Source organism: Homo sapiens, chromosome 10, assembly GCF_000001405.40.
Source record: "Homo sapiens chromosome 10, GRCh38.p14 Primary Assembly".
Classification (NCBI taxonomy): Eukaryota; Metazoa; Chordata; class Mammalia; order Primates; family Hominidae; genus Homo; species Homo sapiens.
The window spans coordinates 4032353-4053152 of record NC_000010.11 but is presented as its reverse complement, the minus strand read 5'-3'; the positions used below and the strand labels follow the sequence as shown (position 1 = coordinate 4053152).

Below are 20800 nucleotides of genomic sequence, written 5' to 3'. Positions count from 1 at the left end.
CCTTTCTTCGATGTTTGTGTTTGTGTGTAGTTTTTTCTAATAGAAATGAGATGTACTACCTCACATGTGCTACCTTCTTTTATCAAATAACTATATATTATGGTTATTATTATATTGCAATAAGTATAGATCTAGAATAGATGATCATTTTAATGGTTACATAATAGCCCATTGTATAGTTATAACATGATTTATTTGTCCAATCTCCTGTTGGTAGGTTTGAATGTTTTTATTTCCCTTTCTTCTGCTTCTCTGTAATGGCTATTGTCAGTTTTTGTGAACTTGACTACTGATTTCTGTAGGATAAATTCCAAGAAGTGCGATTGTACAATCAAACAGCCCACGTTGCTGAAGTTTTTCAGCTGTACTTCCCAATTGCATTCCAAAAATTTTGTAATTGCTGGGCACAGTGGCTCACATTTATAATTCCAGTTACTTGGGAGGCTGAGGCAGGAGGATCACTTAAGCGCAGGAGCTCCAGAATGGCTTGGGCAACATAGCGAGACCCTGTTTAATATATATATATATAATTTACACTCCCATAAATGATGCATAAGTGTAGCCACTTTTTCACTTTTTTTTTGTAATTTTGGATCATTCAATAGACAAAAATACTTTCTTTGTTGCAGTAATTCATGTAGTTTTGATTGCCAGTATAAGTGGGTGCAACCATGCAGCATATGTAACATTATGCTGGCAGCTTCTCTATGTGGCAGGAGACAGTGTCACCACAGCAGATATTGAATGAGACTCCCTACCCTGCGGCCAAGGCTTTCCCACCCTGAAACACAGCGCGATGCAGAGTTCTGCCGTTGGCTCAGGCTTGCTTGCAAAAGCAATGCAAAATTTTCTGGAAAAGATGAGTATCAAGAACCCATCTCTGGTCCAGAATTCAAAATATGAAAGCCTATTCAAGGTAGAACAGAGCATGGCAGGTGAAGGGATTATGACCAAGATTTGAAACCCACACATCAAAGAGAAACAGAGAACCTTACCAGCTGGAGGAAGGTGGAAGCCAAACTCAACACAAGAGCTGGGGAAGAGTATGTGGGAAGAGCTGGTGTCGTCCAAGCACGTGGTTGAAGCTGGAACATGCTTCAAAAGCAGCTGTTACAGCCCAGAGTCCCACCTCAGGGAACAGTGCCCCAGCACATGATCCTGAACTGGAAGGGTTATGTCCCTGGAGCCTGTGGGGGGCCAGGACCCAGAACAGGATGGGGACTCCAACCCCAATGGACACACCATTCAACTGAGCACTACAGTGACGACCACAAGCGTGGTAGGAGACTCCTCCATTGTAGCCGTCCTTCCTCTTTGCCTGATATTCAGACAAAAAACCCCCAAGACCTCTGAATCATTGAGAGGAAGTCTTGAGACCAGGACCCACCGTGCCATCGTTTCTGTTCATGAGAGCACACCGACATTTGAGCAATTTGCTGGAGAAAAAGAAAAAAAAAAAAAAAGCAAGTGAAACATACCAGTCATAATAGCGCTGTTGAAAGAAAGTTTTGCCTGTTTGTTGACATTTTGAAATTCCTGTTTTGAGGATTTTCTATTTATATCCTGTATCCATTTTTCCTCCCTGGATCTTGCTCGTTTTCTCAGTGACATGGAAGAGCTGTTTATATGCGAGCGATGCCAACTGTTGTTGTGTGTTTTGGAAATATTAGTGAAGGAAAACAGCTAGAGAGAGAGAAAGTGAAATGGGAAGTAAAACAACTTTTTGTTTTTAAGACGTCCTTATTTACTTGCCACTCTAGCTAATAAATTCTTGTCAATTAAGTAATAAAAACCTCATAAAATTCTTTAGAAACCTTTTAGAACACCAGATCCTTAAAGAAGACTGGTAACTCCCAAGTTATTTAGGACACAGAAGCTCGCGCAGATAGGCTGGGAGCTGGGGAGGAAAACGAGAGCAGGAAGTAAAAGGAGGGTCTGGACTGACAGTGTCGCATGTGATTTGGCAAAGGGAAAGTTAGAAACAAATTTCCATTTGCTTGTGAACATTTGTGTGTGGTCAAACTATTCTTGACCATTCCAGAAAACTGACCCATACTCACAGTTGGAACTGAGACAAGGAATACATTGTTCAAAAAACAATTTGACCTATTTTAGACAGAAAACATAAACCTTGAAATCACATTTCAAAAGATTAAAAGTCAAAAGGCTGATTTCAAGTTGTAGCATGAATGTTTATTCGTAGGAAACCAGCAGCAGATTAATTATTCTTATATATTCAAGTGAGCACAGATTGAAAACCAGCCTTTTGCCGGGATACTATGTCAACACCAAAATTTTAAAATGTGAATGAAACAAATGATCTCCTTCAAGAAGCTCAAATTCTGTAAAGGAAGGGCAGATGTATAAACAGACAAGTGCAAGTGAGTATTAGTTATAGAACTGTAATGACAAAGACAGCATAGCAAAGTGGTTAAAATGGAAGCTCCGAAGACAGAATAACTAGGTTCCAGTTATTAGCTGTGTGACCACAGGCAAGTTGCTCAGACTCTCTGTGCCTCAATTTCTCATCTACAAAATGGAAATAATACTAGAACCTACCTCGTAGTTTGACCTTGGGATTACATTCATTAGTTGATACCCATAAGCATTCTGAATAATGCCTCCCATGTTATAAGCACTCAGTAAGTGTTAGTTGTTATGATGCTCATAAAGAGCTTCACATCTCAGTCTCATCATCTGTAAAATGGGGATAGCAATCCCTGCCTGCTCCAGTGATGACTATGATGCTTCTGTGAGAACATGAGAAAGTGCAAAGACTTGGAGTGTGATTAAGACCGGCCAAGGGAAAAATGTGATTTTAGCTCATACAAATCCATCCAAAGTATCTCCACCAAATAAAAATAATGTGTAAGTTTCTTATTATTACGTAATAAGTACCATTTCCCTTAATTTTCCACAATGGTTCACTTTGTGCTTTTACAAACATTGTCAGTAATGAGGCTCAAATTGCTGTTTGGCATCAATCGGCGGTCACTACTTCACATGTCATGAATTTCATTAAAGAGAAGCAAGTCAGAGGTAGACATCCAGATGGCACAAGACTCTAGGTAAAGCCCCCTTAACTTTCCAAGGATGTGGAACAGTCTATGAACACATGTTCCAGGCAAGGCAGCCACATGCACCATGCGCACCCAGGATGTGAGGATTAGAACCATGGCAATGGGTTTCCCTACCACACAAAGTCCTCCCAGCCCAGCCAAGGATTAGTAGGAATGAAGTGGTAGGACTAGATTTGCTGATTCTCATCAACAAATTCATCATTTACTTTACTACTTTACTCAAGATCAGCTCAGCCAGCTTAGCTGATTCTGTAGAGAAGTCTGATCTGGTGCCTAAATTCTGCCCCCAGGAACAAATGCCCCGCTAAGGAAACTCGATCACAGAAGACACCGCCCATTCTTCCTCATCCTCAGCCTCTCCTAGGCTCCCTGTTCTCAGTTCATATGCACGTATTGAAAACTTTCAAGCTTGAGCATGGAGGTGGTTCATTTCCAAAACCACGTTCAAATCTTTCGGTGAAACTTTACAAAATAGCAGACAATAGTTGAAGGCAGAATGAATAAGCAGCTCTCATCCAGCACCGTCAAAGATGTCCCGAGTGGAGTCTAGCTCCCAGGCTGTGAGAATGCAATCATAGTTAATTTGACTCTCTTAATACCATGGGAAATATTACTTGTGATTAGAGAATAAAATAAGACTATCTACAGATTTCTATAAGTGAAATGGCTAATGTTCTCATAATTAGATGTTGGCATGTAAAAATAAAAGAACAGTTCTCCTTCCTTGCAGTGAATGGCCACCAGCCGTGTGCTCGCCCTAGGATTTCTAACAGCTCTTTGATAGATCATGGAATGAGACAAAATGTGTTCCCCGGTGTGCTGGTGACTGATCTCTATCCCTGAAATCCATACCCTTATGTAATGTCATATTATTTCTATGCCTACAAAAACCCTAAACAAGGCTGTAAAATCAATGCATTTGTGTTCAGTTTTTTGGTTTCCCCGTTGTTGAATTTAGACTGTTTTAGGTTACTGAGAATATTAGTCAAAGATTGGTTAAATATGTAATTTCTGAGTATCAAGCCAAGAGTTTTAAAAGTACCTCTTTTTTTGTCATAGCTTTTGTTTTGTTGCTATCTTGATCAGTGTTATTGAAGAGACAAAATATCACGGTCTTAGCCTTCTAAGAGTTCACCATTTACGTAGGTCCCAAGGCTCACATTCATGAAACAAGTAGAGGGTAAAGATGAATCCAGGTTTTATGACTGTGAACTTGAAGGATTAAGGACTCAAAGAGAAGTAACACTGACAGCTGGGGTGTTAGGATTCAGGGAGACCTTCTGGACCAAATTGCCTAAGTGGACCATATTGCTCTGGATAAGAAGAGGAGATAGGACAGTGTATTGCAACTAAGGCCCTCTTGGGCCAAGGTCAGATGAGTCCAGGAATAAATCAGACTGGCCTGTGGGGCACTTGGATGGTGGGAGGAGTTTGTTCTCCAGAATAGCAGGATCAGATCCTGGAGGACACAGAGGCTGACGTAGTGCAGTGCACTGAGCTTTTGGAAATGCTCAAGCAAGGAGACAGATGAAAGTAATTTCTAAGGAAGATTAGTCTGGCTGTAGTGCATAGAATGAAAAAGAATATGGAGAGTCCATGTTAGGTCATTCATCTGGGAAAGTGTTGCAATGATCTAGGTATGACAGTTGCACACTCCACCAAAAAGACACACTCAGAGTATCATGTGAGGGGAAATAACACAACTTAGTGGTTAGCATAATGATAAAGATATTTTTTGCTTGGAATATGTGATTTTAATACTTTCCATGGAATCAATAAATCACTCTATTTGGGTCTGTTTAGTCTGCCGTACTTAAAGGGAAAGGAAGCAGAGGCTCTGCTCACAAATCATCAGCAGAATCCTAAAGGAATCTTTGGTTACTTTGAGAATTCCCCATTACCTATATACTTACAATTTGATTTTTAAATAAAACATACTTCCGTATCATTCTGTGTTAGGTTAATCTGCAAAACAACAAATATCTCATACAGAATTTCACATCTTCTCCAGATCCTTCTTCCAAAAGTTGCCGACAATCATACCACTCTCAGCTAGAAGTTGCCGACAATCATACCACTCTCAGATCAGAACTGTAAAGAGTGATAGTCAAGACTTACAGATCAGAACTGTAAAGAGTAATAGTCTCTTGGGCTGGGTACTGTGACTCACACCTGTAATCCCAGCACTTTGGGAGGCCGAGGCAGGTGGATCACCTGAGGTCAGGAGTTTGAGACCAGCCTGACCAACATGGCGAAACCCTGTCTCTACTAAAAATACAAAAATTAGCCGGGCGTGGTGGCGGGCCCCTGTAATCCCAGCTACTAGGGAGGCTGAGGCAGGAGAACCGCTTGAACCCAGGAGGTGGAGGTTGCAGTGAGCTGAGATTACACCATTGCACTCCAGCCTGGGCGAAAGAATGAGATTCTGTCTCCAAAAAAAAAATAAAAAAGTAATAGTCTCTTTATTAGGATTCCATCAACAACCTCCACCCAACAGTTGTCTATCAGATGCTTACTGTGTGCTAGCTGGTATCTCACAGGTTGGGTTCCAGCTGTCAACAAGACAAACCCAGCCTTTATTCTCAGGGGGCTCAGAGCCCAAAACATCCCTCTATAGATAAGGTCTTTTAAAGATTTCCTTTTAAAATTATCTTCCCAGATACTGAATACAACTTGAAAGTAGGTGAGTCTTTCTTTCCCTACTTTTTGTAGTGCAGAATAGATAGTAAATATTTACCAGGGTCTTGTTCATTCATATACCTAAAATGACATTTTAATGAAAATAATTGTAAATCAGTTTATCTTTATGCTCTGAGGGCTTAAGATTTGGCGCGGTTTGGGGCCTTATAATGTATTCTCCTGGCCGAGCCAATTTTCATGATCCAAGCTAACGGCAGGCAGAGCTTCTGGAAAGGCTGGGGCAATGCTTCCAACTTCCTGGGAAGGTGGGGGTTACTCTCATAAACCCAGTGCGGGAGTGTTGTCTGAAGGCCTTGTTGGGAATAAAAAGATAATTAATAGGGTGCATGATACTGAATATAAATTATCCACAGCTATGCCTCCCCTAATTAAACAGAAGAGTGAAAACAAAGGGCAAGGACCAGTTTCACTTGTAACTCTGTTTTTCTACATTGCAATGTTGGAGGCTGGCAGCGCTCCCTATAAATTCTCTTTTTGGTGAACTCTTACATAAGTATTTGTAGGAACAAGTCCAAATAGCTTAGTAAGACACTACACCCCAATTTGTTTCTTAAAACACAAAAAGTAAGAAATAACCTAAAATGATGTAGTATACAGATCTGCAGAAAGGAAGCTTAGATTTAAACGTTCATCTTTTTTTGAGCCAATTTTTTTGGATACTATAAAGTCACCCTTCAAATAAGAAGATGCAAACATGGGTGAGAGCAATAGTCTTCCTCGGAGTGGAAATATCTAATAATTATTTTGAGAATCTATATTTCGAATCTGTCATGTGAGTTCAGGTTTTTTTTTGTTTGTTTGCTTGTTTGTTTATTTTTGTTTTTGTTTTTTGAGACGGAATTTTGCACTTTCACCAGGCTGGTCTTGAACTCCTGACCTCAGGTGATCGACCCGCCTCGGTTTCCCAAAGTGCTGGGATTACAGGCGTGAGCCACGGCGCCCGCCATGAGTTCAGTTTTAAGTGAACTGCTATTTTCTAAAAGGGCATGCTTTAAAAAACAAAAGATGATTTGCTGCACGTAAGAAAATAATGTTATTAAAAATTTACTTGCCAGTCAAAACCTTAAATACCCTAAAATATTCTGGGACTTTCCTGAGCCAATCACATGTGATCACCGGACATTCAGGCAGCATCAGACACCCTGGCTGCTCAGGAGGTGTCACTTCCCCATGCACCCAGGCCTGCTCCCTCCTCTCTGTCATAGAGTTTTATCAGAAGATACAAGCTGCGTGTATTTATTTCCATCTTGCTAGTTAATGCATTGAGAGTAGCTATGCTTTCTAAAATGCTTCCTATTTGTTAGAGCACCACCATTTTGCATTTCCTAAGAAGAAATGGAAGAGACACAAGTGACCAGGCTAAATGGAGACTCAGCTGTTTTATCTGTTATTTAGAACATGCAGTCTTAGAAAATCAGGTCCCTTAGCCTAAGTTTCCAGAAGCTCAGAGCTATTGTAATATGAAAAAGTCTCAACAGAGCCAGAATCTACTCTTAGATGTCCCATACCCAGCCTGCTTCCCTCATCTGAATACTTTGTGAGGGTGGAAAGGGGATTAGAATGTTTTCCATCCATGGTAGCAGTTTTTTTTTTTTTCAATGCAAAAAATACAATTTTAATGACAAGCCATTATCTTCTTTGATCTCAAAAGGAACTTTTGTGCCAGGCATAGTGGCTCATGCCTGTAATTCCAGTGCTTTGGGAGGTCGAGGTGGACAGATCACCTGAGGTCAGAAGTTCAAGACCAGCTTGGCCAACCTGGTGAAACCCGGTCTCTACTGTAAATACAAAAATTAGCCAGCTGTGGTGGCAGACACCTGTAATCCCAGCTACAGGAGAGGCTGAGGCATGAGGATCACTTGAACCCAGTAAGCAGAGCTTGTAGTGAGCCGAGACTGCACCACTGCACTCCAGCCTGGGTGACAGAGCAAGACTCCATCTCAAAAACAAAAAAAAAAAACTTTTTTTTCTATTGGCTAAGCTAAGCTAAGGATATTTAAAATTTTAGAACCTCAACATCTGAAAGAAAAAAAAAGCAAACCAACAGAAAACAGGAAAAAAAATGTTCCATGTCTCCGAAGGTGGAAAAAATGGAAAATAAATATTTCATCCAAAGTGACCTAGCTCCGCAGGGATGTAATGTTTCCCACAGCCTCTTCTGGCTGCTGCACTTCTTCTTCATGAGTAAAGTATGCTGTTTACAGTGTGTCCAGTCACCTCTGGTCCATGTGGGATACACGAGGACAGGCTTACTAAAACTCCATACCTGGTTAGAGAGGTGGGGTAGGGGACTCAAACAAGAGATTGTCTTTCACTTTCAAAGAACTCTGATTTAAAATAATTTTTGGTGTTATGGACTGAATTAACCATGTTCCCCAAAATCCATGTGTTAAAGGTCCTCATCCTTAATACCTCAGAGTGTGACTATATTTGGAGGTAAGGTCTTTACAGGTAATTAAGGTAAGATAAGGTCATTAGGATGGGCCCCAATCCAGTATGACTGGTGTCCTTGTAAGAAGAGCTTAAGACACAGACACTCATGGAGGAAAGATGGTGGGAAGAGGCATGAGGAAGAGACAGTGTTCATGAACCAAGGAGAGAGACCTCAGGGAAACTGGGAAGAGATTGGTTGATCAGAATTCCAACACTGAAAAGAAATTACTTGAGCTTGATCCATAGACTAGTATAGAAACTTCTGTCTTTTTTAAAGGAGACCCTTAGGGATTGATATGCTAGGTTTTTTTTTTCTTATAAACGGAATTTGACCTGTCGTATCCCAACACTAGGATTGGTTTCACTTCCCTCCTAATTAGTGTTTCATAGTGACAATCAAAAGATGAAAATTTTAGTTTTGTTCCTTTTCTTTCATGCATTGGAACAATTGGATGATTTTTATTTTAATGTTTTCTGAACTTTCCAAATTTTCTCACTTCCTTCCTCCTTAGAAAGCTCAACAAATGGGAAAGAAACATGATTTTATGTTTCCTCCAGAAACTCCAGATATTTCTGAATCACAGAGGTACTCTCAAGCAATATATTCCTGTTATTTATTTATTTTTCTTAAAAAATACTCATTTACCAAATACAAGTGGACCAACGTGACCTCATCAACAGGCTAATTTGTTATTAATGTTCAGAAAATGCTCAGAAGGTGCTGCTACTTTTCATATTTCTTACTGATGAATGAATGGGACAGAATTAGAAATTCTTGGCAATTGGCAAAGGGTCCCAACACATGCAATCACTTCCTCCTATTGCAGAGAAGGAAGTGTCTGTATTCATTGCTCCAGAAAGATAAGGTGCACAGAGGGCTTTGCAGGGGAAGGAGGTAGGAAGCCTGGAGCTGGAAGAACCATAAATAGTGTCCACGAGAACAGCAGGACCAGAGGGACCAATGCTGAACGTGCCCTGGCTCATAGTGATCAACAGGCTGATAGTCGCCAATAATCAACAACTTATTTGTACCAGAGACGCTGCTTCTGGGTTCATGCAATGGTTATTATCCTATGGATACCTTTTCCTTTATTGAATATTTCAACACCTCTTTTGCTTCTGTGTCAGGCCTTGTTCTTGGCTCTGCTGCACAGTGGGCCAAAGAGACAAAAATCTTCATCCTTACAATCGACTGTTAGCACACGGACACAGTGCAGCCTTATGAAACAGGACTGTAGAGTCAGGTTGTCTGCATTTTTACATTACAAATTAAGATTAAATATGTTTTCACCTTATAAGACCCCCCTAAAGACGACAGTAAACAGTTCATATATTTGTTACTCGAGGCATCGTATATGTTCCCTGACCAGAAACAACTAAGCATCATTCTGTCTCCTGCCCAGGTTCTATTTCTCCAGTGTCACTGGGACTTCTAGGAGAAAAGTTCTTTCTCTTCCTCTGGATAGCACGGGATGCAAATGCAATTCCTGGGAATTTTGCAGCCATTTCATCATCATGAGGGAAATGATCATGAGGATAAAGATGTTCCATGGGGTTTGGCAAATCCATGAGAATCACAGAGCACTGGTGGCAGGTGCCTGCTCAAATCATTTTTGAATCTCGTCCTCCCTAGAGACTTGCCAGTTCCACAAATCATGTAGCTACTGTGCAGTGGTTTGAAAATGCACATACAAATTCTTTGACACTTGTCCTTTCCAAGTCTAATTTTCCTTTCCTCTGAAAGTGAGCCGGACTGAGTGACCTGCTTCCAGTGAATAGAGTCTGGCAGAGGTGAAAGTGGCTTTTGAAGTGAGGCCACAGCAATGCTGTCACTTTCACGTTGTTCTCTCTTGGATAACACAGTCTGGGGAAGACCATGGCTAAGCCATAAGGGCAATCCAGTGTGGGAAGAAACTGGGCCTCTTGCCAACAACCACCACACATTGGCCACCATGGGAGGAGCTACCCTGGGGGCTGATCCTCAACCCCCCGTAAGGTCTTCAGGTCCTGAAGCCCCCAGTGGCCTCCTGAACTGCAATGTCTTGAGAGACTCCAATTACCTTGATCTTGAACTCCTGATTCTTAGAAACTGAGAGGATAATAATTGCATTAAAACTTTAAACCTCTCCATGTTGAGGTGATTTTTTTAATTCAGCAAGAGATAACTATTGTAGATTTTGGTAGCACAAATAGATGCACAAGCAGTGAGGAGTTGGGAAAATATTGAGGAAGGTGTAAGTGACAACCAGAGGAACCTTGAAAACACCGAAAATAAATATCTGCTGGTTGCTATGAGAAGGCTATAGGGGAAGGCTTAATGTAAAGTGAAGAAAATGTTGTTGAAAATGGAAGAAAACTGGATCCTTGTCACATAGTGGCAGAAAGTTTACCAATATTTGCACTTGCAGTAATGTGAAAAATAGAAAATGCACCTAATAAACCTGGTGATTGGCTAAAATTTCCAGGTAGAGTTTTCAAAATGCTATTGGGCTGCTTCTTGGAAGAAGACAGAGATCAACTAAAGGAAGAACAGATACCAAAAAAAGAAACAAGGACTCCTTAATTTTGAAAATTATCAACCTCCCCTGATGATAAATAATGCTAAAAATAAATAATGCTAAAATTAAGAAATGACTCCCAGGCAAAGAGAAAACCCAGAGTACTGTCAGAAACACATGGCAAAAAGTTGAAGCCAGGTGTGGTTTTCAAATTCTTTTTAAAGCCTCAGAAAAATCTAGATGAAGTCTGAGAAAATCACTCACTCAAACAATAAAGCTTTTAAGAAGCATAAGACTATTGTTCCTCAGCAGTTTAGAAAGGATGCCAAGGTCAAAACGGGTTATCTTAAAGACATTTCTAGGTATGGCTTTGGTAAGATGGAATACTCTACAATAAGATTCATGGGAGACCCACACAATTTTTCAAGACAAGTGTAGCAGCAGATGAACCACTAGCTTTGACTGAAAAGGAAAGAGTCAGTTCAAAAAGAAATGGCTTCTTAAGACCCATAAATTTCTATAAGTAACAAGCAGCTGAGGAAACTACTCGGATTGGAGCACTGGCCACATTTCATGGGGGGAAAAATAGATGACTCAGAAGATCCAGGAAGGCAGAGACAGAAGGCATGTGGAATTACTCACACAGCTTGAGACCTGCTTAAGGAAGCACCAGTATGCGTCCTGGGAAATTTCAGAATTGCTATGGAGCAGTAGCTGCCATATGTTTGTGTTGTAAATGGAAATGTGCCATGGTGGTTATTTTGTGCCCCTCGCACCATTATACGTTGCCGTTGTGTTGTTCTTCTAGCTCATAGGTCTTCAGATCAAGATAGGCTGAACCTAAGCAGTTGAACTTCAGTAACAACACCAACGAGATTTGGAAAGAGAGTGAGTTGAGTGTATTTTGCATGCAAGAGGATACTTTTTTTTTTCTAACCAAGGTAAGAATTCTATTTTTTACTTTTATTTTTTTTAGAGACAGGATTTTGTTCTGTTGCCCAGGCTGGAATACAGTGGCAGGATTACAGCTCACTGCAGCCTCAAACTCCTGGGTTCAAGTCATCTTCCCAAGTAGCTAGAACTACACATGTGTGCCACCATACTCAGCTAATTTTTTAAAAGCTTTTTGTAGAGACAGTCTCCTGCTATGTTGTCCATGTTGGCCTCAAACTCCTAGGCTCTAGCAATTCTTCCACCTCACCTTCGCAAGACACTGGGATTACAGCCATGAGCCACCATGCCCAGCCAAGGAAATAAATTTTAATCAAATTTTTATAAACTGGAATATCTCTAATTTGGCTTTTAGAGTGTTCTATTACAGACGGTTATGATATACATGGGGGTATGGATTAAACAGCATTCCCTGCCCCCACAAAAATTCATATGTCGAAGCCCTAATCCCCTATGTAACTACTTGGAATAAGGAAGTAACTAAGGTTAAATTAAGGCATAAGGTGGAGCCCTGATCCAGCAGAATTAGTGTCCCTGTGAGACCCCAGAGAGCTCACTCCCTCTTTCTCCACCACATGAGAACACAGCAAGAAAGCAGCCATTTCCAAGCCAGGAAGAGAGCCCTCCCCAGGATCCAAATTATCAGGCACCTCGACCTTGGATTTCCCATGCTATAGAGCTATAAGAAAGTAAATTTATGTTGTTTAAGCACCCCCCCTAGTCTGGTATTTTGTTCTGGCAGTGATATCATTAATCTGAAACCCTAAGATCCTTGAGAATAAAAGAAATGATGATTTGGGCCTCATCACAGCTTGTTTATGAGTTTTGAGGCCATAGTTCCTAAACCGTATGACTTTGTCAGCCTCCGGGTTTTAACGGGGGACACGATGTAACAAAGGCACTTTTACCGTGAAGCTATAAAGTTTAAGGCATTTTTGGATCCAGCTCAAGGAAGACTGAGTTAGAGGTACTTTCAGTTTGAGTTTTACTAGGATATAACTGCATGGCTCTTTGTCAAATCCAATAAGTGATTGCTCACCCAAGCAATAACAGAGGAATGCCTCGGAAGTGTGCCCCTCTACAACCATGTCAAATACTTGACATCAGGATGCCAGGTGTAGCAGGCCATGGTATGCCCAGCTCAGCTTCTCAATCTTGTTTAGAAAGTAACCCCTTTAATAGCATCTGAAGGTGTCGAACTCTTCAGCATTTTGCAAGTTTGTGTTTTCATTTTGAGGTTGTCTCCTAGATTTAAAAACGCACGTGAACAGTTGAATTTTTCTTTAGACTAAGTATCACAAAATGGCCTGCTCACTACAGTATTCAAGCCTTAGAAATTGGGTTTCGCAGTGTTTTAAGGACTCCCAGATATACAATATATATTTAATACTTAAAAGAGAAAGACAAACACAAATAAGATGGAATAAGTTTATTTGAAAGATACATAAAGCCTGAATGTACCATTATAATCTAATTTGAAGGATGTTTTGGAAAGTTGCAATGAAATTGGAAATTATGAGCTCCTTATTTATACACATAGAATGGTCATGTTTCAACCATTTTAAGTGTATTTATTAAATAGAACATGAGAGAAATACAGGCATAATATTAATGGAATATAAAACAAAATAAAGAGATATGTGTTGAGAATAAAATACTTTATCATCTGACAATGAGACTAAAATGTAAAACCCATTTTTTCAGATCAAACCAAAAGCAGTAATTTATTGCAGCTGAGAAATAAATTTCAAGGAGAAGCCACGAAAAGGCTGTAGAATTATTTGATAATAAGAAGAAGAAAGAGGAGGGGATCATAGACACCCACTGTGAAAAGATTTAAAATCTTGCTGAATTTACATAAAATACGGGCACTAAGTTAAAATGAAACATATTGGGCCACCAGAAATGGGATGTTTTTGATAAATGGGTTAATGAGTCACATTAATCAATCTAATTAATCATAAGTAAATGAAAACTTTTTAAAAAATCTTGAAAGTCCTTGTAATCTTATAAATTATGTATTTTTATAACAGATAACTGATATTTTACTTGTAGTATAAGTTTTTTGATAGAAGGTTTCACAAATTGAACAACAGCCTTAAATTTACATGCCATTACCAATAATAAGTTGTAAGACTAAAAGACTTTTTTGAAACTATTAATTTTAAAATATTATATTCTTCAGAAAAATTAAATTTTACTATTCATTTAATTAAATAAAGATACAATAAACTTTTGCACTTGAGAAGATGCTCAATTAGAATTCTAACAATTTTTTTAAATTCTTCGGTTAGGTAAGGCAGCTAATTTTTACAAAATTATGTTACTTTGCTGAAATTTATAATATTGTCATATTTGTATACTTTTATAAAGATTGCAATGTGTTTGATTTATTTTTCTTTCTAAATAAAATTTCACTTTATAATTTATTTTATACTTTTTTTGTGTGTGATGTAGTCTTGTTTTGTAGCCCAGGCTGGAGTGCCGTGGCATGATCTTGGCTTACTGCAACCTCTGCCTCCCAGGTTCAAATGATTCTCTTGCCTCAGCCTCCCAAGTAGCTTAAACTAAAGGCATGCATCACTATGCCTGGCTAATTTTTTATATTTTTAGTAGAGACTGGATTTCACCATGTTGGCGAGGCTGGTCTCGAACTCCTGACCTCAGGTGATCTGCCTGCCTTGGGCTCCCAAAGTGCTGGGATTACAGGTGTGAGCCACGTGCCTGGCCTATGCTTTCAGTATTTTGTCATCTTAAAGAGGGTCCTCAAAAATGTGTGTTTCTGGCCCTACAAAATGGAATCAATCCACAGTGCAAAGTAACATTTATGACTAGGTACTGGTTCACTTTCAAAAAATATATGGAGAAAATGGAGTTACTTCACTCTATCTTTTTACTTTACTGTTTTATAGCTATTTAAAAATGCATTACAATTCCCCCAAATAGATTATACTGTGTTAAACTCCATTTTTTTTAAAGTGAAGGCAAAATTATTAAAGTATGGATCTCTTTAAATAAGAAAAGGAACAAAAATGAGGACATAAGACATATTTATTTCAGATAATATGCAATTTAAGAATAAAGATCTGGCAAAATAAGAGAAAAAAATACTTCCCAAGTGGTTATGGTTGGAGGGATATGGATGTTAGACTCAATGAAAAAAAAAAGAAAAAGGAGAGATGAGAAGCCTTTTTCAATCCCCTCAGAGCCAAACCGAATCTTTCCAATCATCCTCACCTTGGGAGGATGGGCTGTCTGCCCCTGGCCAGAACCACAGTAGTGCGGATGTGGGACACACCACAATACTAACACGAGGCATTTGAAGACTAGCTGGGCCACTTTCATGTGAAGTCGGATTGAAGTCTCTGGTTGATAGAAGAGTTATATCTAGATAGAATGGTTTTTGTGGATGATGCCATAGAATTTAGCTACATGGTTGCTTCCCATGGGAGGGCTTTTAACAGTCATTAAAATAGTTCCATGTTGTGAATATAACAAGAATCTCTGCTTTGGTCCAAGCCAACAAATTGATTTTCACATTAAATAATAGACTGAATATAATATTTTTAGAGTGAATATGATATATTGTAGCATCACTGCTGGAACTTATCAACAAGAACACTAATGCATGTTTTTCTATAAAGATTTTTTTTCAAGTGTAATTCTCTTTTATGAGCTGCTTAACCTATCATATGCTTGAGATACGTGACACTTTATTAAATGCTTAACAGCGGAAGCATTTTAGAAAAATATCAAGTGGAGCTAAAACATAAAAAGAAAAAGAAGAGGGTGATGAGGAGAAAGAGAGGATGGAAAAAGAAGAAAGATGTGGCCGTCTCTGCAAGCTTTATAATATCACAGAGGAACTCGAGATAAAGCTCCATGAAGACAATGAGCAAACCATACATGATCAACCCACAATACAGACATTCTAGAGACTCCGATAAATGGATAACACAGCCTGTCTGTAATTCTGATTATCTGGTTTCAAAGAGAACCTAATCAACTTGTCAGCTGGTAGACTACATTTTTTAAATAATGGATGATTGATATTTTTATCTAATTCAGAAAACATTTCGAATACGTCAGCGAAATTCTGTAATACTTCAAACTTTCTCAAAGCCTACATTTTAAAAAGTTGTCAATAATAGGTTGGATGATACACTTACTGCATTCTGTTAACTATGTATTAATTGTATAAACTAATAAAAAAATTTCATCTATCTTATTAGGATAGGAATTTCAAATCAAACTGCATATTTTTATTTGCTAAATATAAAATTGTATATGTGTGTTATTGGGATCAGCCTTGTACAAATAGTAATTATAATGACAATCCAATATAGAAAAATGTAACACTTAGAGCTGCATGGGCAAAATTAAAATATTTTGCTTTCAATTTATGTATTTCCTTCACAGAAGGAATTACGAAACAATCAATAAGAATGTTTTGAGTAAAGATTACATTAAGATAAAACCTATGGAGAAATAAAATTGGAATACAAGTTCAAAGAGAAAAAGGAACAATGTCCAATTTCCTGTAATTGAAGAGCTTGTTTGTGTTTTTCTTTTAATAGGTGGTGGTCAGTATCAAATCACTTCGTTATTGACATTTCACTGACTACATTTCGTAGAACAAGTTCATAGTTTCATTTTTATCTGTCCATAGTATCCTGAAATTTGCATCATTTGCAACTATTTCAGCATATGAAGAAAAATTTTGTATGTCCGTTAAAAATGACTGAGAGTTTGCATTTTGCAAAACAACAGGATACAACAGTGACAAACATTTGGAGATCAATGTTCTAAAGCATCCTGAAACATCCTTTCTCCCACAAAATTACCTGAAAATTCACATACTTTTTATTCATTTGAATAGCTTTGTCACTTTTCTCAAAATAGTGATCAATGAGAAATTCGCTTTATTATATGTTTCTATGATGGACTATGTATTATTTTGTTGAATTAAATAACAATTCATCACCATTTTAAATGATTTTCTTTCTTGAAGCTATTATTTCTGATGAAGTTCACTTTGTTTGGATTTAGAAAATCCACTCGGAGGGAATGTTTACCTTTCCTTTAATAATATGCTTTATACACGTTTTAACAGTAATCTTACAGCATTTTACAAATATGTATTTATTTATTCATTCATTCATTTATTTAATTATTTTAGAGACAGTGTCTCTATCATCCAGGCTGGAGTGCAGTGGCAAAATCTCAACTCACTGCAACTTCCTCCTCCCAGGTTCAAGCGATTCTCCTACCTCAGCCTCCAGAGTAGCTGGGATCACAGGCGTGCACCACCACACCCCACTAATTTTTGTATTTTTAGTAGAGATCAGGTGTCACCATGTTGGCCGGACTAGTCTTGAACTCCTGATCTCAAGTGATCCGCTTGCCTAGGCCTCCCAAAGTGCTGGGATTATAGGAGTGAGCCACCGCGCCTGGCCTAAAAATGGCATTCTTAGCATCTAGTAATCTTACAACATTTTAACAGACACACACACACATACACACACACTTAAGGACCTTTAGCTTTTAGCACATTAGAAATATATTAGGAGTTATTTTAAATATTAGCTTCATTAGACATACAAAATAAAAGAAATAAAATTACAGTAGATAATTGAAACTTGTAGTACATAGCGCGTAGATGTAACCATCTGGACTCAAACTGGGAGGAGCAAAATATAATCTTAACTGATACGTTCTGTTCTGAACAGATGTTTCCAACCCCACATGGAGGATGTGAATCTCTTAAAATAACACATTTCCAGGAGCAACATTAGAATTATCAGCAACACATTGCTGCTCACTAACCCTAAAGAAAGAGTAAATACAGACAGAATTTCATAAGTGCCTTCAAGATGGGAGAGGATTGTAATTTACTCTTCAGGATATTTTGCTATATGTGATAAGTGCCCAGTAAATATGTGTAAATGCAGCTGTACCCACAATTCTGTTCAGAAGTTTCCATATCCTGAAACTAAGGCAGGTCATGTGTGCATGTGGGTATGTGCTAACCATTCTAAATCAAAGGCGTGTCACCCCTGCCGAAGCCCTCGCTGTCAAGAACTCTCAGCATTCCTTCTCTCGGTTGAAATCCGGGACTAACGTTTCCTCTATTCAGAAACATTCAGTTCTTTCTTGCCCGTGCATGGCTAAGTGATCTTGTCCTTCAGATGAGATCCTGCATCCAGCTCCTTTGCCTGCATGTAACTTTTTCTTGCTTCCGGTGTGACGAATAAACCAGCAGTCATCTTGCTTTTAACCATCACCCAGAGTATTTAAAAGGGAAAAGTGGGAGGCGTCAAAAAAACAGGGGGACATGAAAGACATAGGACAAAAGTAATCATGGATAAAGACTTCCATCTGCTGCACGTGAAACAGTGTCTGTTTACTCTGGACTTTGATGGGTGCCTGTTCTCTACAGCAGGAATGAAGCAAAAAGTGAAACCATAATTCCTCCCCAGAGTGACAGCATTCTGGCCTGGGGAGCCGAAGTGTGCACATGAATCAGTCGCCGTTTCAGGCTAACATGACTGGAGAAGCAGACAGCACCTGGAGACCGGGTCTGGAAAGTGAACCCCACACTAAGTGTACTGAAGTGTGCAAGGGTCTTGGATGGAAAACTAGAATCCCTATTTTTAAAAAAAATCATGGGCATCTAAGGAAAAGAAAATACAGGCTCCAAGTTTTTGAATTAAAGGGGCTTTAGAGCCTGCTAAGCTGACTGACTTGATTCATCCAGAGGTCAGGTGATGTTAAGTGGCATGTCCACAGTGGAGACGCCAGACTCTGATAGGAACCCACTTCTTCGGATCCTTCTAACTTCCCTATGGGGTGAGGCGGGGAGTGAGGAGTTAAGATTGGGAAGCTCAGATGAAACTCTACAATCTAAAAGAGGATTCATTAAAGAATATGGGCCAAAGGGTTCAAAATCTATCACTTTCTCAAAACACAGTGATAATTTATTGCAGAAATAGGCTGAGAAAAATTAGGGTTCAAATGGAAAATCAGAGAGCATTTAGGAGAACATTAGAGGCCCAAACCAAAATGGGCTTTGTTTTGTTTAATTTGGTTATGTTTTGCAATGAGCAAAGTGCTCGGAAAAGGGCCCCATCCTTGAAGTAGGGGGAGAAAGGGCCTTGGGGAGGGTTGGAGGATAGAGGGACGAGAACAGGACGGGGGCGGCAAGGACAGGCAGGGACTCTGCCCCAGGGAGAAGCTTATTCGACGCAATTCCGCACAGTGGGCCCGGGTTGTGTGTCGACCAAGTCGCCCATCGCTCAAGAATCCTTAGTGCAGTGAGCGAGCATAGGGCCTTCAAACTGCTGTCCAGGGGACATTCCTAGTGTGAGGCCAGGCGGGTCCCAATACGAAGGAGAAGAGGGGCTCTGTGTTCCAGGAGCAGGTCTTTGGAGGAGAAAGTCCAGAGATCCTTGCGCAGTGAGAGCAGGTGCCCTTGTGCAGGGAGTCATAGGCTTGGGCTGGTCCAGAGATTTGGGGACAACCCCAGGGCCACTCATCTTTCCAAGGAGGGTCTATTTGTCTACGCCAGATCCTTAGAGCAATACTTCTGTCTCAGAACCTCTTCTCAATCCATCCGTGCTCCATCTCTAAATCTGGCAGGTGGCCCTCAGCACACATCTGCCTCCTGCCTCCCAGGCCCACCCAGCTGTGAGAATTATCCTATGCTGTGTTCCAACAGAGCCCAGGACTTCGTCCTCGTCCTGAGGTCCTGGGGCAGGAGCGCTGTCCTGGCTCCACCAGAAACCATCTGGTGTGGGTGGAAGGGGAGTTACTCGGTATTCCCAGTGGCTATTACCTCCTGTGTAAAGTCAGGGTGAATTTCTAAGCCCTTCACTAACTTTCAGTTTTGATGCTATGACTAAGAGGACCTTTGTTTTGTTTCATTTGGTTTTTCAAAATGAGTTGTGTGTGAATTTTTTTACTATGCCAGAGTCCAAGCAGAAAAGAAACCAACAGAAGGAGGATCTTCTATGACGGCTTCTTGTTAACATTTAATGCAAATAGAGACCTTCTACGAGACTCAAGACCAGGGCTGGCCCAGCCGTGGTGCATAGTGATGCTGAAGAGAAGGAGGTGGGCTCTGAACCCCTCCAACAGTTTCAGGCCTGTCTCCAAAATGTACAAGGTTGTAGCTTTGGGAAAACCACTCAGCCTTTTGACACCTCAATAATTTTATCTATAAAATGTAAATAAACTGTGCATCCTACCCAGAAGGAATGTTGTAAAACCAAAATGAAGTATTGCACGGAAACGGGTAGAAAAAGTGTCTGGCTCATGGTAGGTTCTCCATGTCTCTTCTGATTGCATGGTCAAGACTTGGAAGATGGGAGTTAATGCTGTGCACTGAGCATACTGAGGCCAGAGAGCGCTCAAGCAAGGCCAGGCAAGAAAGCAGCATGGTGAATCCTGGGTAAGCGTGGTGGGAGATGAGTGACATTCTGATATGCTGCAGAGAGAAATAGAGGGAGTGGCTCCCCTTCTCACAAGGGTGTCCTGGTATCCCGGACTGGACTAGTCAACCCTCCACCTCACCCTCTGCTGTCCCCCTGTCTGGCTATAGTAATTGGAGGAAAGGTAAGCACTTCATACAACAGAGCAGTAACAGCCCCTCTCCCCAAGGTAGCTGTCCACTGCAGGGGCCACAGGGCCATGTCCCAGTGGGAAGCTGCCCTGTGATTTTCTGAAATTTCCAAATTGAAACTCAGAAGTCCTGGCCAGGCGTGGTGGCTCATGCCTATAATCCTAGCACTTTGGGAGGCCAAGGCGGGTGGATCACTTGAGGTCAGGAGTTCGAGGCCAGCATGGCCAATGTGGCGAAATCCCTTCTCTACTAAAAATTAAAAAAAAAAAATTATACAGGCGTTGTGGCGCATGCCTGTAGTCCCCGCTACTCAGGAGGCTGAGGCAGTAGAATTGCTTGAACCCAGGATGTGGAGGCTGTAGTGAGCAGAGATCCAGCCTGGGTGACAGAGTGAGATTCCGTCCCAAAAAAAGGTCCTTTTAGGAGTCCAGAGATGTTGGCAGCTATGAACCAATGTAGTTTTACAGAAAATCCAACCCAGAAGTCAAAATCTGAGTAATCAGCAGTTCATTCCTGTT

The 20800-nt window shown here is 40.1% G+C and overlaps 1 long non-coding RNA gene across 12 annotated transcripts in view; it reads right to left on the bottom strand.

Moving 5' to 3' along the window:
• The window catches only part of LOC107984195 (uncharacterized), a 59329-nt gene that overhangs the window by 31098 nt on the left and 7431 nt on the right, over positions 1-20800 (bottom strand). For 5 of the 12 annotated variants that reach the window (NR_176071.1, NR_176064.1, NR_176068.1 and 2 more), the window contains 2 exons: positions 996-1436; positions 133-507 (listed from right to left, as the gene is read on the bottom strand). This is a non-coding gene — a long non-coding RNA (uncharacterized LOC107984195). Of the gene's footprint in view, positions 1-132; positions 508-995; positions 1437-1478; positions 1684-1814; positions 1900-5831; positions 6073-20800 lie in introns of those variants that run through there. The other 7 variants (NR_176063.1, NR_176067.1, NR_176066.1 and 4 more) reach the window with 4 other exon arrangements.